Source organism: Homo sapiens, chromosome 9 (genome assembly GCF_000001405.40).
Source record: "Homo sapiens chromosome 9, GRCh38.p14 Primary Assembly".
Lineage (NCBI taxonomy): Eukaryota > Metazoa > Chordata > Mammalia > Primates > Hominidae > Homo > Homo sapiens.
In genome coordinates this window covers 118,900,307-118,915,827 of record NC_000009.12, presented here as the reverse complement: position 1 = coordinate 118,915,827, position 15,521 = coordinate 118,900,307, and the positions used below count along the sequence as shown (strand labels likewise).

Sequence of the window (15,521 nt, the reverse complement as noted above, 5' to 3'; positions counted from 1 at the left end):
ACTACAGGTGGGTACCACCACGTCCGGCTAATTTTTGTATTTTTGGTAGAGACTGGGTTGCTCTGTTGGCCAGGCTGGTCTTGAACTCCTGACCTCAGGTAATCCACCCGCCTCGGCCTCCCAAACTGCTGGGATTTCAGGCATGAGACAGGGTGCCAGGCCTAGTGAATTAATTTTCAACAAAAGTGCCAAGAAGATACATGGGGGAAAAGGTAGTATTTTCAATAAATGGTGCTGGAAAGATTGGGTATCTATATGCAGAAAAATAAATCTGACTCCTGTATCTCACCATATACAAAAAAACAACAACACATCAAAATTGGTTAAAGACTTAAATCTAAGAACTCACACCTTGAAACTACTACAAGAAAACATTGGGGAAACTCTCCAGGATATTGATCTGGGCAAAGATTTCCTGAGTTATACTGCACAAGCAGAGGCAACCAAAGCAAACATAGACAAATGGTATCACATCAAGTTAAAAGGCTTCTTCTGTACAGCAAAAGAAGTAGTCAACAAAGTGAAGAGACACCACACAGAATGGGAGAAAATATTTGCAAACTACTCATATGACAAGGGATTAATAACTACAATATGTAAGGAGCTCATACAAGTTTATAGGAAATAATAAAATAATCTAATTTAAAAAATGGGCAAAAGATTTGAATAGACGTTTATCAAAAGAAGACATACAAATGGCAAATAAGCATATGAAAAGGTGTGCAACATCGTTAATCATCAGAGAAATGCAGATCAAAACTATAATGAGATAGTGTCTCATCCCAGCTAAAATCGCTTATATTCAAAAGACAGGCAATAACAAATGCCAGGGAGGATGTGGAGAAAAGAACCTTCATATATTTTTGCAATATTGATGGGAATTAGTACAACCACTATGGAGAATAGTTTGGAGGTTCCTTAAAGAACTAAAAATTGAGCTACCATATGATCCAGCAATCCCACTGCTGGGTATGTACCCGAAAGAGACGAAATTAGTATATTGAAAAGGTATCTGCACTCCCATGTTTGTTGCAGCACTGTTCACAATAGCTAAGATTTGGACCCAACCTACATGTGCAGCAACAGATGAATGGATTAAAAAATGTGGAACACATGCATAATGAAGTACTATTTAGCTATAAAAAAGAAGATTCTGTCATTTGCAACAACATGGATGGACCTGGAGGTCATTATTTTAAGTGATAAAAGTCAGGCACAGAAAGACAAACTTCACATGTTTTTCACATGTTATTTGTGGGAGCTAAAAATCAAAACAATTGAACTTATGGAGATAGAGAGTAGAAGGATGGTTAACAGAGGCTGGGAACAGAAGTAGGTGAGAAAGAAGGAAAGTGGGGATGGTTAGTGGGTACAAAAGAAACAGAAAGAATGAATAAGACCTAGCATTTGATGACACAAGAGTCCATAATAATTGTACATTTTACAATAACTAAAAGAGTAAAATTGGATTGTTTGTAACACAAAGGATAAATGCTTGAGGGGATAAATACTCCATTTTCCATGATGTGATTATTACACATTGCATGCCTGTATCAAAGTATCTCATGTACCCCATAAATATATACACTTACTATGTACCCAGAACAAATAAAAATTAAAAATTAAAAAATATATACACTACAAAACTATAGTAACCACAACAGCATGGTACTGGCATAAAAACAGACACATATCCAAAAGAAAGTAAATCACTATGTCAAAAAGATATCTGCACTTCTATGTTTATTGTAGCACTGTTCACCATAACCAAGAAATGGAATAAATCTAAATGTCCATTTATGGATGAATGGATAAAGAAAATATGGAATAGATATACACAAAGGAATATTATTCACTCAAAAAAAGAATGAAACCTTTTGTTTGCCGCAACATGGATGAGTCTGAAGGACACAGTGTTAAGTGAAATAAGCCAGGCACAGAAAGACAAATATCACATGTTCTCACTCATATTGGAGCTAAAAGCATTGATCCCATGGAAGAAGAGAGTAGTTTGGTGATTAGCACTGTTTGGGAAGAAAGGGAGGAGTGTGGATAAAGAGAAACTGGATAAGTGGTACAAAAATATCATTAGAAGGAATAAAGTATAGTGTTCAATAGCAAAGTAGGGGAACTAAAATTAACAATAATGTATTTTATATTTCAAAGTTTCTCAAAAGAAAGATTTGGAATGTTCCCAACACAAAAAAATGATAAATGATTGAGGTGATGGATCTTCCACTTACCCTGTGTATTAGTCTGTTCTCGCACTGCTATAAAGAACTACCTAAGACTGAATAATTAATAAAGAAAAGAGGTTTAATTGACTCACAGTTCTGCAGGCTGTACAGGAAGCATGGCTGGGAGGCCTTAGGAAACTTACAATCATGGTGGAAGGCAAAGGGGAAGCAAGTCTATCTTACGTGGCCAGAGAAGGAGGAAGAGAAAGCAGTGGAAGGTGCTACACGTTTGAACAACCAGATCTCGTGAGAACTCATTCACTATCACGAGAACAGCAAGGAGAGATCCACCTCCATGATTCAATCACACCCCACCAAGCTTTCCTCCAACACTGGGAATTAACAGTTCAACATGAGATTTGCACAGGGACATAAATCTAAACCATGTCACCCTGATTTGATCATTATACATTGTATGCATGTTCTAAAATATCACATGTACCACATAAATATGTACAATTATCATTTTTTAAATGTTAAGTACCTTTCCAATATTATTAGCTAATAAATAAGAGAAACTGGATTGAAATCCAGAGCTCTCTGGTTCCAAAGCCTATGTCCCTGATCACAGTCCTACACCATCATCAACTCTACCTGTGTTTTTTTCCACCTTTCAAGATCACTCTTGATTGTTGAGAGAGAAAAACTGATTCAAAGGACAGGAAGAAAAAAAAAAGAAACGTAGTGGTGGAAATAGGTTAGACAGGGAAAATGAGGAAACGAGGGCAGATAAGGGAGACAGATTATTATGAATAAACAGAAGAGGAAGTTTGCATAAAAAAAGGCAGAATAAAAGAGGAGAAGGTGAAAAGGAGACATTTGATTACAGTTTGGGGCCTGCATAGTTTGCCTTAGACTAATAGAAATGGATTATTAAAGGAAGAAGAAATGTTACAAACAAGTGTTTGTTAACAAACTTGAGTACTCTATTTGAAAAGGCTTTCTGCCACTATGATTTCTTTACTTGATATTTCTTCTTTGTGCTTGCAAAACAATGACAGGAAACGAAAGTGGTTTTTTGAGTGTTAGGTGTCAGACACAGAGGTAAATACTTTTTGTATATTGGTTTATTTAGTTTCCAAGAAAACTCTGAAGGGCTATTGGCCCTATCCAGTTCCACAAATGATAAAACCTGAGGCTCAAGGAGAGTTCACTCATGCAATATTCACAGCTAGTTAGTGGGAGATTCATGTTTTGTGTAAGACCAAAGGTGTTTTTTGCTTTTTTCCCATACATGACTGTTTTCTTTAATATCGGTATCCATAGCCATTATATGATTATACATTATTTGTTTACTGCTTACTTTGTATTTGCAGAAGCAGGACTTCAACTGGAATGCTGTGTATAGAACAACTGGTATATGGTAAGTATTTGATGTTGATTCAAGTGAACACAACATCCAGACATAAATGGCTAAACCTTTGTTATGCATAGAGAAATACCTGTAAAATGCCACCTGCTATTGGCTCTGAAGATGATACTAGAAGTGGGACTGCTAGTAGGGAGTAAAGAGAAATTTCCTGTAGTTTACTACTTCTAACTGTTCAAATATATATATATATATATATATATATATATATATACACACACTGTCCTTTATCAGTTAGTTTGTAGTGTAGGTTCATGCTGTTTCCGCATATTACTTTAGGACTTTCTGTTTCCTCCTGTGCTTCTGCATGCTTCAAAAATGGAAGGGCAGTGCAATAAGAAATGATTAAAGAACTGGAAATGGAAACTTGGGATGCAAGATTAAAGGGATTCAGCCTGGAGAAGAGAAAGATGCCGAGCTGATTTAACAGTCTTCAAGTGCCTAAGAGGATAGTATAAGAAGGAAGGTGACCAAGTTCACATCAGAAAAGAAGAACCTGGCTTAGATTACAGTTTTCAAAACTAAGAGGGAAATTAACGCAGAACTGTTCGGCTACAGGTCCTTAGGCACAAAAGCAAGCTACATGGAGGAAACTGTCTTTTTTCCTTCCTAGATGGAATCATTAAGTGAATAAATGTTTTTATGCCTTCTATTGAAGTAGTCTGTAATAAATTCATTAATTACTTGTGCCTCTGCTATATGTCAGACATCGTGATAAACACTTCTTCTTGCTATTCACTCAGAAAGGGAAGGCCATACCCATTTTTACAAATGAAAAAACTGAGACTCAGAAGTGGAAAGTAATTTTCTCTAAGTCAGACCACTAATAAATGGCAGGGTCAGGATTGCAGGCTGGGTCGATTTGGCTACAAAAAATAAAACAATGAAAACAATTGTAACAATAAACATACATAGATGACTTCATCTTTGGAAGGCACACTGTATTAAGAACCTTTGTACATTATATTATTTGAACCTTCCAACAACCTGACTTAGAAAGATTTTAAGTTAGCCTGGCGTGGTGGCTCACACCTGTAATCCCAGCCCTTTGGGAGGCCAAGGCAGGTGGATCACGAGGTCAGGAGTTCATGACCAGCCTGGCCAACATGGTGAAACCCCGTCTCTACTAAAAATACAAAAAACTAGCCAGGCGTGGTGACAGGCACCTGTAATCTCAGCTACTCGGGAGGCTGAGGCAGGAGAATTGCTTGAACCCAGGGCACGGAGGTTGCAGTGAACCGAGACTGTGCCACTGCACTCCAGCCTGGGCAACAGAATGAGACTCGGTCTCAAAAAAAAAAAAAAAAAAAAAAAGGGTTTTAAGTCCCTGATTCTCAAGTGAAGAAGCACTGCAGAGTGGTAATGTTACCTGGCCAAAGTAATATATTTAGTAAGTGATAAAGCCAGGATGTAAACTAAGATGTGTCTCATTCTGAAGACCCTGGCCTTCCCTCTATATCATGACACAATTGCCTCCCAAAATTTTATATTAAGAGAGTTAAGAGTATCCAATAAATCTTAAATTAGTATTTGTCATATAATAGAGAGATTATAAATGTCATAGGAAGAAGACAAGTTGAAACAAGTATGATAGGATGAGCAGATAGGGTATCATGGTAGAAGTGACATTTTAATGGGGTCTTTTAGGATGGTTAGGGTTCCCTCTCAGACATAAGTAGAAAAAAAGTGAGATAGGTTAAAGAAGAAGAAAAAATGTGCAAAATTAACAATTAAGAAATGCAGGAAACATAAGGAAATGGAAAGAATATAAAATATGTTGCCATGAACCATTTCCAGCAATTTTGGGCACAGAGTATAGAAAGCTTCCAAGTGACTGCTGTGCATAAGACAGTGGTGTATATGTTTTATTTTATTCCTAGGCATAAAGAAAGCCCATATTTTCCAACCCCCTTTGTGTCTCAGTATGATAAGGTGACTGTGTTCTGGTGGGTGGAATGGTGGGAAGAAGTGCCCGAGCGATTCACCCAACTAAGAACTTTCATGAGTGAGAAAGCAGCCATTAAGTTATCAGTGCTGGCAGTGAAAGAAGTACTCCTAGCTTGGGACTATACCTTTTAGACGGGCATCTTCCAAAGCGTATTTGTCATAACATTTATCCATAGAAATGCTCCATTATAATGGATTTTTGTTAAATATGCCTGAATATTCATATTCTGCATATTATATCCCCTCTGAGAGACTCGTAATAAATACCAGGTTATTGAGGACTGTGAGAAGTCATGTAGTACAGCAACCTAGTAAAGTGTTTAACTTGATATTTTTCAAACACATTTTCCCCGGGTAACTTATCCTAGTAACATCTACAATATCTTGGGAAACTCATGATTTATAAAACACAGCGTGGGAAATCATGCTGTTGTCAATGTGGATCCACTGAAAATGTTTCACCAGAGAAGCAACAGTTCGTTCTTTCTCCCTAAGTCATGAAATTTCACCCTGTGATTGCTTTTACATTAACTCATCAACTTTTCTTTAAGGTAAGAGGAACTGCTAATCTGAGTCAGAGTTCAACATCTTGTTTGGGCTATACTCACTTATAACTGTCACTGTGCATTTAAAGTCCACATGAACTGGCTCTTCCCATACAGTTCTTGCTTCTTACACTAACATGGTTTCACTTCTGGGTCAAATGACAAAACTAACTCTCTCTCTCTCTTTTTCTCTCTTTCTTTCTCTCTTTCCACTTTCTCATTTTGGCATAATTCCCTAGAATCCTAATTTTGAGATTTGTATTTTGAAAGAAATTGAATAGGTGAAAGCAGGAAGTACTTCCCAGGCTTCAAATTTATGCTACTTCTTCCAACTCTATTTCACCTCAGGGTATAACATTCGCCTTAATTCTCTGCATGTAGCTTCCTCAAACCTTGCAAGGAAGGATTCTTTTGCAGGTAAAGGGGGCCAATTGCTTCCAGTCCCCTGCATGAGACATCACTGCATTTGAATTACACTTGAATCTCCATCTCAGAGCAACCCAGAGTTGAGAGTAAAATCATAGCAATTAAGCAGTACTTAATGTATCTTTAGTACTTTGAAGAATCAATTTTTCATGAAATAATTATAATCTTAAGGGAGATATATCTGAATATTAAATATGATCCTTTTGTTAAAAAAAAAGGAAGTTGTGGTCCAGAGAAGTAAAATATCTGCTCCAAAGAAACTGAGTAAGTTGATGAACTCCGTCATCCTAACCCTACTCCTCTAAAGTTCCCTCCAAGGGCAACCACTATGACTCTGTACATGGTCACAATAATACAATGTTTCCCTCAGGGACTAAACAAGCTATCAGTTTCCTCCTTTAGCAATACTAATTCCCATAAGATTATAGTAGCCATCAAATAAAAGATTATTTTATCATTATTATTTTTATCATTAATGTTTTCAGATATTCAACTCACAATGTTCTTGCCTGCTTTGAAATAAAGCAAGTTTTCCTTTTGAGATATGTCCAATGATAAAGTAAATTGGAAGAATCATAGTCTACATATCAGTCCCTTGAGTTACATGTTTACAAGAGGTACATGTTTACAAGACGTGATATAATGTTTTCAGTTTTACAGTTTTAAAGTACAAGCTATTATGAGGTATATTAAGAAATATTATGGAGATTTATGTATTAGTAGAGACTAAACTATCTAACAATAATAGCTTACATTTGCAAAGCACTTTCACCTACGTTATTTCCTCTGAGCCTAAGATTAACCTCTGAAACTGGAAGAGCAGGGAATCCTATCCCTTTTTCTACAAATGAGAACATCTATACACTGTAAGATACAATAATTTTCCCAAGGTCACAAAGTCAGTAAGGGGTTGAGCAAAAACACACAGTCAGGCCCTTTCTTAGATTCATGCTCTTATTTCACCATCATATCTTTGATGTGATGAGGACAGTAGAGAAAAAACAGATTTTGGTGTATAATAGGTCTGCGTATAAACTCTCTGGCTCCAGTTATTCTAGCTCTGTGCCCAAAAAGAAGTCATTTCACCTCTCTGAGCCCTCACTCACTTAATGTAAAATCAGGTAAAGCATACTTACTTTCATTGTTTCCAGTATTGAGACATCATCTGTCAACTCTTTGGAACATAGAAAGTTCTCAGCACATATTAGTTCTCTTGAAATGCTATGAGTCTAAGATTGTCTTTTGGAGAATTCTGATTTCAATTTTAAAGGGAAATGAGCCTCACTATCTCAGGTTGGTGCTATGAGGACAAAGATATTCTGTTACCTAACATCTTTATCTTCATTGCCTGCTATTGAGCATGATGCATATGAGGTGTTTGGCAAATATTATTTTTGAAGAATGAATAAAGAAATAGTGGTCGTCTCTTCTTTAATATTTGTTTGGCTTTCTACACATATAATGCATGGTCCAAGGAGCATTGTGAATTTCTGGTATGAAACAAGGTCCTTGGCCTCAGAGCCCTCCCAAAGAGCACATGATGAGTTGCAGTATAAAGGTACTCAAAGGCATGTACCCAAGAGAAAGAGACTGACCCAACAGGAACCCAGGGCATGGCAATTCAGCAGTTTAGCCATTTCTGTTCCTGGATGCACCAGAAAAATTTGCCTTTCAAGAGACCTTGTCTGTCAAAATTTTTGGCCTATTACCCTGGCAGCTATTTCTACGACCCAGCCTCTTATTCCAAAAGTAAGTTAAGGACCTCAGCATTCCAGTCCTTGATAAATAAGCCCCTCTCTCTGAGAGCCTCAGTGACAGATAAATCTGTCCACCCAAGGGCATTTCCCAAGCAGGATGGGCTGTTTAAACTCCTTACCAGATTGCAGCTGGCACCCGCCACGTTGATTTTTCTCTCTCCTTATAATCATAATGGGATCTCAGCAATAAAGATGGATTTGTTAATTTCCATCCCCTTCTCACTTTCTCTTTTAATCACTGTCGAGCATAAATTAATTTCAGCTTAAAGAGCTTTCAACGAGATTCCGTCATTGTCTAGGGCACCTAAAGGTCAAAAAACAGGAGCCTCTGAAAACACTCATCAGCTGTTAGCCAGGAATAAACTTTTAGTTATTGACACTTCATTATTTCTATTTTGTCCATGGCAAGCTGGAGTCAGGAGAGAGAGAGAGAGAGAAACCAATCTGATCACCCACCTGCTATGTTGAGTGTCACGTTTTTTTCCAAAGTCTGATGAAGTGGACTAAAGTTTCAATATCAGGCTTGATATCACTTGCATATTTCTTCAGGGTAAGATATAGAGTCAAGTTTTTGGGTCACCAGGCCTGTTTAAATTCCAATTCTGCTATTTATCAACTGGGGTGCCTGGGGAAAAATACATAACTTCTGAATTTTTGTCAGCTAAGATGTCAATAATTGTGTTCATCTTATGGAATCATTGTGTGAAATTGATGAGAGAGACTGTAAAGAATGGAGTGTTGGCCTAGAATGTCATAGGTATCTCACAAAATGTAGCCACAATCAATAGCATTTCCCTTACATGTCTACCATATGAAAGTTTATTGTGAGACAGACACTTTGATAAAGGGAAAAAAATTAGAGAAACATATAGTATCACTAAGGAATGCTTCTTGTGTCTTACCATGGACAAGGGTCAGTAATGTGGTATGGAAAAACCTTTCTAAGTGACTTGTAAATATAAACAATCTTCCATGCTCTTTGCTGGACACTGGAGTAAAGTTTGGTGTTACTCAGATCAAGCTTATGTCTCACTTCTGCTACTTACTAACTATGTGTGATCTTGGCAAATTAATTCCATCTGTGAGCCTTAGTTATCTCAACTGTACAATGGGTAAAGCACTTCCCGTATTTGATTATTCATGAACATCAAATGACATGATATATGCAATTAATAAACAGACAGATTTAGGAATATCAATAATAGGTCTGCTTTGTAATCTACATGTCACTAAACAAAATGATAAAAACACTAGTAGTAATATTTAATACATATAGCACATTCTACATGCTAGCAACTTTTCTAAACTCTTTATATAATTTATCTAACTCTCACTCAAAACCACATAATGGAAGTGTCAGTGTTGTCTTCGTCTTACACATGTGAAAACAGAGGTCAGAGGAATCATTTAACTTTCCCGCTGTTAAATATTTAATAAGTAGTGAAATCGGGATTGAAAATCTGTGTAATCTGCATTCAGAATCTGAGCTCTTAAGGATTTTGTACCCTGCTTTGGTTGGATCAGGGAAGAAGATGCTAGTCTACCTAACTAGCTACTAATAACGTGGTATGTCATTACCATTCTGGTTTTTCTTTTATAGCATTCATTTATTCTACATGTATTTATTGAATGTCTACTGTGTTCTAGGTATTAGTTAAGTTGTTGGAAGTACAGTAGGAAACTAAACAGACAAACCCCTCTGTTTTTGCAGAGTTTATATCCACTGGTGTTAATGGCTAGAAAAGGCAGACGTGGAATAATAATAAAAAGGCATGGATTAGGAACTTCTGGGGCCTGATCATAATAGCAGTGCAACACTCTGGAGACACTTCAGTTCTCAAAACCTTATATAGACCTCTTACAACTGCAGGCTAAGAATTGTGTGATTTCATGCTCATGACAACCCTGGGAGACAGGTACTGCTAATACCTGCATTTTGCGTATAAGGAAATAGCTGCATAAAGGGATCAAGTCACTTGTATAAGAACATACACAGGAAGTATTAAAGCCAGACTTTGGATGCAGGTTTGCATAAGACAGGACCTGAAAGTTCTATCCCAAAGTCCTGGCTAAATGGACTCTGATTTAAATGCAGTATTTATTTAAACAAAAGCAGCGCAGACAAGAGGATTCTTTTAGAATAATTTTTCTCAAGCCTTTAAAAACACATTTTGTCTTTCTAACATTTTGTCTCCTTTTCCTCCTCAACCTTAGCTCCATTCTAACCACTGCACACACCCCAAATTTGTAAATTCCGGAGTAAGCCATTTCAAAACTATTTCTAATTGTGCTCTCAACTAAAAAATGTCAGCTATATGCATGATTTCTCCCAAGGACTTGTAAATAAGGATATGAGGTGTGGTATATATTACTCTGAAGCTGGTGGGGCTGCAGAGGTCAAAATAAAGTGAAGACAAAGGGTTCAGAAAATGAAATTTAATTACTATTTGGTCATTTTGAGTGTGATGTATTTTGATTCTGGACTTGGGCTGCTTTCATTAAACCAGCATCCACAAGAGAAGTCTTTAACCTTTCGTTTGTTTGTTTGCTTTTTCTTTTTTGAGACAGTCTCACTCTGTCGCCCAGACTGGAGTGCAGTGGTGCGATCTGAGCTCACTGCAACCTCCGCCTCCTGGGTTCAAGTGATTCTCCTGCCTCAGCCTCCCAAGTAGCTGCGATTACAGGCACATGCTACCACACCCAGCTAATTTTTGTATTTCTTGTAGAGGCGGGGTTTCACCATGTTGCCCAGGTTGGTCTCGAACTCCTGGGCTCAAGTGACCCACCCATCTCAGCCTCCCAAAGTGCTGGGATTACAGGCATGAGCCACCGTGCCCACCCGCCTTTAATATTTTTAACACATATTATAGAAATTACATTTGGCTCAGTCCAGTATGTCCAGGCTTCTATTCCGGATATTAAAGGAGAGTTTGGGTGATAGCCATGTCTTAGATTTCTAAAGATGGCAAATACTGGTAAAAATTTTTAAGGTTTAAAACCCATGTTTACATACATTATCTTATATTGGATCATCCTTAAGACAATCTTGTTGGTCGTTCATTATCACCTCTGCTTTGTCAATGAAGAATGAGAAAATTGAGTTTTTTATGGACTTTTGTTTTTCCCCAAAATATACTCTGATGAACATTAGACATTGTGCTAAGCCACTCCAGGGGCCACTGAGGAAGAACAGGAGGGACTTAGCTGGAAGTCTCCCACTCCAGTCTCAACCAGAGCAAACTTGCTTTAGGACTCATGCAATATTTATTGAGTGTCTACCATATCATAGCCACTGTGTAGGGTGGTTCAGACAGACTTTTGACCAAGACAGACTTGTAGGCCCTTTCCTCTTGACTTCTTTGTAGCAGGGCGTCAGATAAATGCACTAACCATTATTTAATTATATTTCTGACAAGTGCTACAAAGAAACAGATCAAGCTGTATAATAAGAGCTGATCTGTATAGCATGGGGGCATCGATCATCAATGAGATTTAACTTTCACAGAGTGGTTCATGTCTTTAACGAGTTTGAAAGCCATTATATTAAGAAAACAACCCCACATTTATTTACTTATTATTATTTTTAAAAATAATCCCACATTTAATGAGATCTCAGGTAATTCCCAGAAAAATAGAAACTTTGTTGAATCTCATTTTAGCACCTACAGTGGACTGCTTATAAACAACAGAGATTTATTTTTCACAGTTTTGGAGGCTGGGAAGTTCAAGATCAAGGAAACAGCAGATTTAGCATCTGGAAAAAGACTGTGTTCGAATTCATAGGTGGTGCCTTCTAGCAGTGTCCTCATATAGCAAAAGAGGCCACTGAGCTCCCTCAGACCTTTTCTTATAAGGGCTCTAATTCTATTCATGAGGGTTCCTCCATGACGTAGTCACCTCCTAAAGACCTCTCTTACTGCCCATCACCTTGGCAGGGGGGTGGGGGGGCCGGTGGTAGGATTTTAACATATGAATTTTGAGAGGATGCAAACATTCATATCATAGCAGATACCAAATGTGCAATAAAGGTTTTTTTTTCCTCAATCATGATTTTTTTTAAATTGTGTAAGGATTCCTTTTAAAATAAATTTTGTTGTGTATAATTAAGGTATACACCATGTTATAGGATACACATGGATAGTAAAATGGTTACTATAGTGAAGCAAATTAACGTATTTCACATAGTTACACATTTTGTTTGTTTTGGTGGCAAGAGCAGGTAAAATCTATTTATTCAGTATGAATCCCATACACAGCACAGCTTTATTACCTAGAGTCCTCATGTTGTATATTAGATCTCCACACTTATTCTTTCCACATATCTGCTACTTGGATTCTATTCTATTTATTTGGTCTGTCAAAATAACAGGACATTAAAAAAATTAGAGTTTTTAAAAACTACTAATAATGACAATGACTCGATTTATTATATCAAAATATAAAACAATAAAAGTCTATTTAAAAAGTAGAACTTATCACACAAGCACTTCCTTCTACTATTAAATTCTATATTGATAATAAGATTTCAAGAGGAACAACTTAGTATTGACAATTGTTTTGGTTTTGGTTTCAGTATGTTTTTTGTGTTTCGTTAATAAGTTTGGTTCGGTGGTATACATGTACAAGCACTATTTTAAGAAGTACGTACTTAGATTTACACTTGAGTAATGTTATAATGAAAATAATTAAAACCTTCATGGGTGGTCCACAAACGATTGTTTACTCTTTAAATGAGAACTTTGTATTACATTAATTTGCAGTTGATGAAGGAAACACTGAAGCGGTTTTGACTGAGAAAAGGGCAAAATAAGATCTATATTGAAAAAATATTTATCCACCACAGACAGAATGGATTGGAAAGGAACTAGGCGGGCAGGGAGACCAGACAGGAATTTTATTTCATGGGAGAGACAGTACGAAAGCCTGAATCAATATAGATATATTTTGGTGCAATAATAAACTCTTGTTATTGGTAATGATGATGATCATTTAGCAGCACAGAAGTTGCACCTCTGTGCCAAATACTTACAAGGTCTGTAGATTTCAGGCCAGAAATTAGTAAAGGGGCATTTTGTCAAGCTTATTTCCTTGTAATAGTTGTCCTCAACGGCCATTTGTGGATTTGACTTGATTACTTTGTGTGCATTACAACCCAATTAAATCCAAGCCATGTCTTCACAGAGAGCCAGGTCTACAAAGACAACATAACAAGGACAATCTTTAGAACATCCCTACCCTACTTCATCCTCATAATTCCAGGCAAGACATCTGATTCAGAAAACTGCAGTTAGGAAGGTGACAGAAAGGATTGCTTAGTAGGAAATCCTTAGTAGGAAAATGACCAGCCAGAATTTTATTTCTTCTAATGCTATCAGGTCTGAGAACTACAAAGGGAGAGAAATGACCAAAGGGAGAGATTGTTCCCTCTTCACAAATATAAATGAGTAAATGGCAATTCCTGTTCATTAAAATTCTATGCAGATAAAGAATGAAAATTTGTAGATAATTAGCCGATTTCTCTATTTGCAGAAACTCGGTTGAGCATAAATAAAGAATGGCCCGCCTATCCATGCATGTGGTCATCGTCTACAAATGGAAAAATCTGCTCATCACCATTATATAAAATTTTTCATGTCATTTGCTTTGAAGCATTAACAAAAAGAAATATACAATTAGAAGAATGAATGCTGCTTCTCTATTCATTGCCCCTGACTTTTGCCTCAAATACAGCACAATCAGAAATGATGCCATTGTCTCCAATTCTGAAAACACAGTGGCAAGAGTACCGAGATCCCCACCTTGATATCTTCTAAAGACCATATGCTTATTACTAGGTCTCAGGACCAGCATGAACCCCACAACAAAGTGAGATCTCATTAATTTCTATCTAATCTCAGATTTGTAAAATGTCATGCACATTTCCCATCATACCATAATCATGCCATGTATCATAATCAAATCTTCAAAGCCAAGAGGGGCTTTTTTAATTCTGTGAGGGTCCACGCTCTTTGTGTCTTGCTTTTGTTTCTCCTCTAGCCATGAATGACTCAAATTGATATTGGGCTCCTCCTGAGTCTTTAGCCTCAATCACATCAAAATGATGTATTTTATTCAAAAACACCTATTATATACCTTTTAGGGTTAATCATTACTTTCTCTGCACTCTCAAAACTTCCAGATTTGTTCAGATTACTTCTAATTTATTGTCATCATTATAATTAATCTTGTCTGATAAGAGACTGAAGATCATGATTGTACTTTGTCTTTTTTTTTTTTTATCCTTTTCTTGGACTCTTCCAGTACACTGGACAAAGTAAGTCTCCAAAAACTTAAAAAGTTTTCCAGCTAACACGAGCCTTTCATATAGCCTTTGCTTCCTTTGATTTTCTCAAGTACTTTATGATTTATTCTAACTTAATAATTGAGGCATAGGAGTCTTGAAATAATGTTACAGAGATCCTCAATCACACAATGTATGGGTGATATGGTTGAATAACAATTAAATTTATATGAGGCCAAGATACCAGGACTCTTTGCTCTACACCATTTGTGGAAAGTTGAAAACATGAGTTCCAAAACACCACAAATTTGGGACTCAGTTTATCTTTCATCAAGTGTTTTCCAGCTCTACTACTCAGAAAGTTCAGAGGTCTTTTTGTTATGCAAAAGGAGATATTTAATCCATGTGTGTCGGCGACACTTTCTTTACCTTAGAGTAAGAGGTGGCATGTGTGTATTTAAGAATACAAGGGGCTGGCCGGGCGTGGTGGCTCACGCCTGTAATCCTAGCACTTTGGGACGCCGAGGCGGGCGGATCACGAGGTCAGGCGACCGAGACCATCCTGGCTAACATGGTGAAACCCCGTCTCTACTAAAAATACAAAAAATTAGCCGGGCGTGGTGGCGGACGCCTGTAGTCCCAGCTACTCCGGAGGCTGAGGCAGGAGAATGGCGTGAACCCAGGAGGCGGAGCTTGCAGTGAGCTGAGATCGTGCCATGCGCTCCAGCCTGGGCGATAGAGCGAGATTCCGTTTCAAAAAATGCAGAACATCCATCCACATTGTAAAGGCGTTTTCAGAATCGATTGGGATAACATTGATAAAGTACTTTTCCTGTTATCTGCACATAGTGGGCACTTTATACAGCTCATTGTGTAGTCTCCGTGCTCTTGTTTTAGTAATGGTGGCAATGGGTGTCTCCTCTACTTTCTCTTCCTTCTCTACTTATTCTTTACACCTTT

General features: G+C 37.3%; 1 long non-coding RNA gene across 1 annotated transcript in view; it reads right to left on the bottom strand.

The window, feature by feature from the left end:
- LOC101928849 (uncharacterized) overlaps nucleotides 1–15,521 on the bottom strand; it is a 128,376-nt gene that overhangs the window by 64,602 nt on the left and 48,253 nt on the right. Inside the window, exons 2-4 of the long non-coding RNA XR_001746918.2 lie at nucleotides 13,311–13,472; nucleotides 8,738–8,906; nucleotides 8,401–8,585 (exon numbers count right to left, since the gene is read on the bottom strand). This is a non-coding gene — a long non-coding RNA (uncharacterized LOC101928849). The remainder of the gene's footprint in view (nucleotides 1–8,400; nucleotides 8,586–8,737; nucleotides 8,907–13,310; nucleotides 13,473–15,521) is intronic.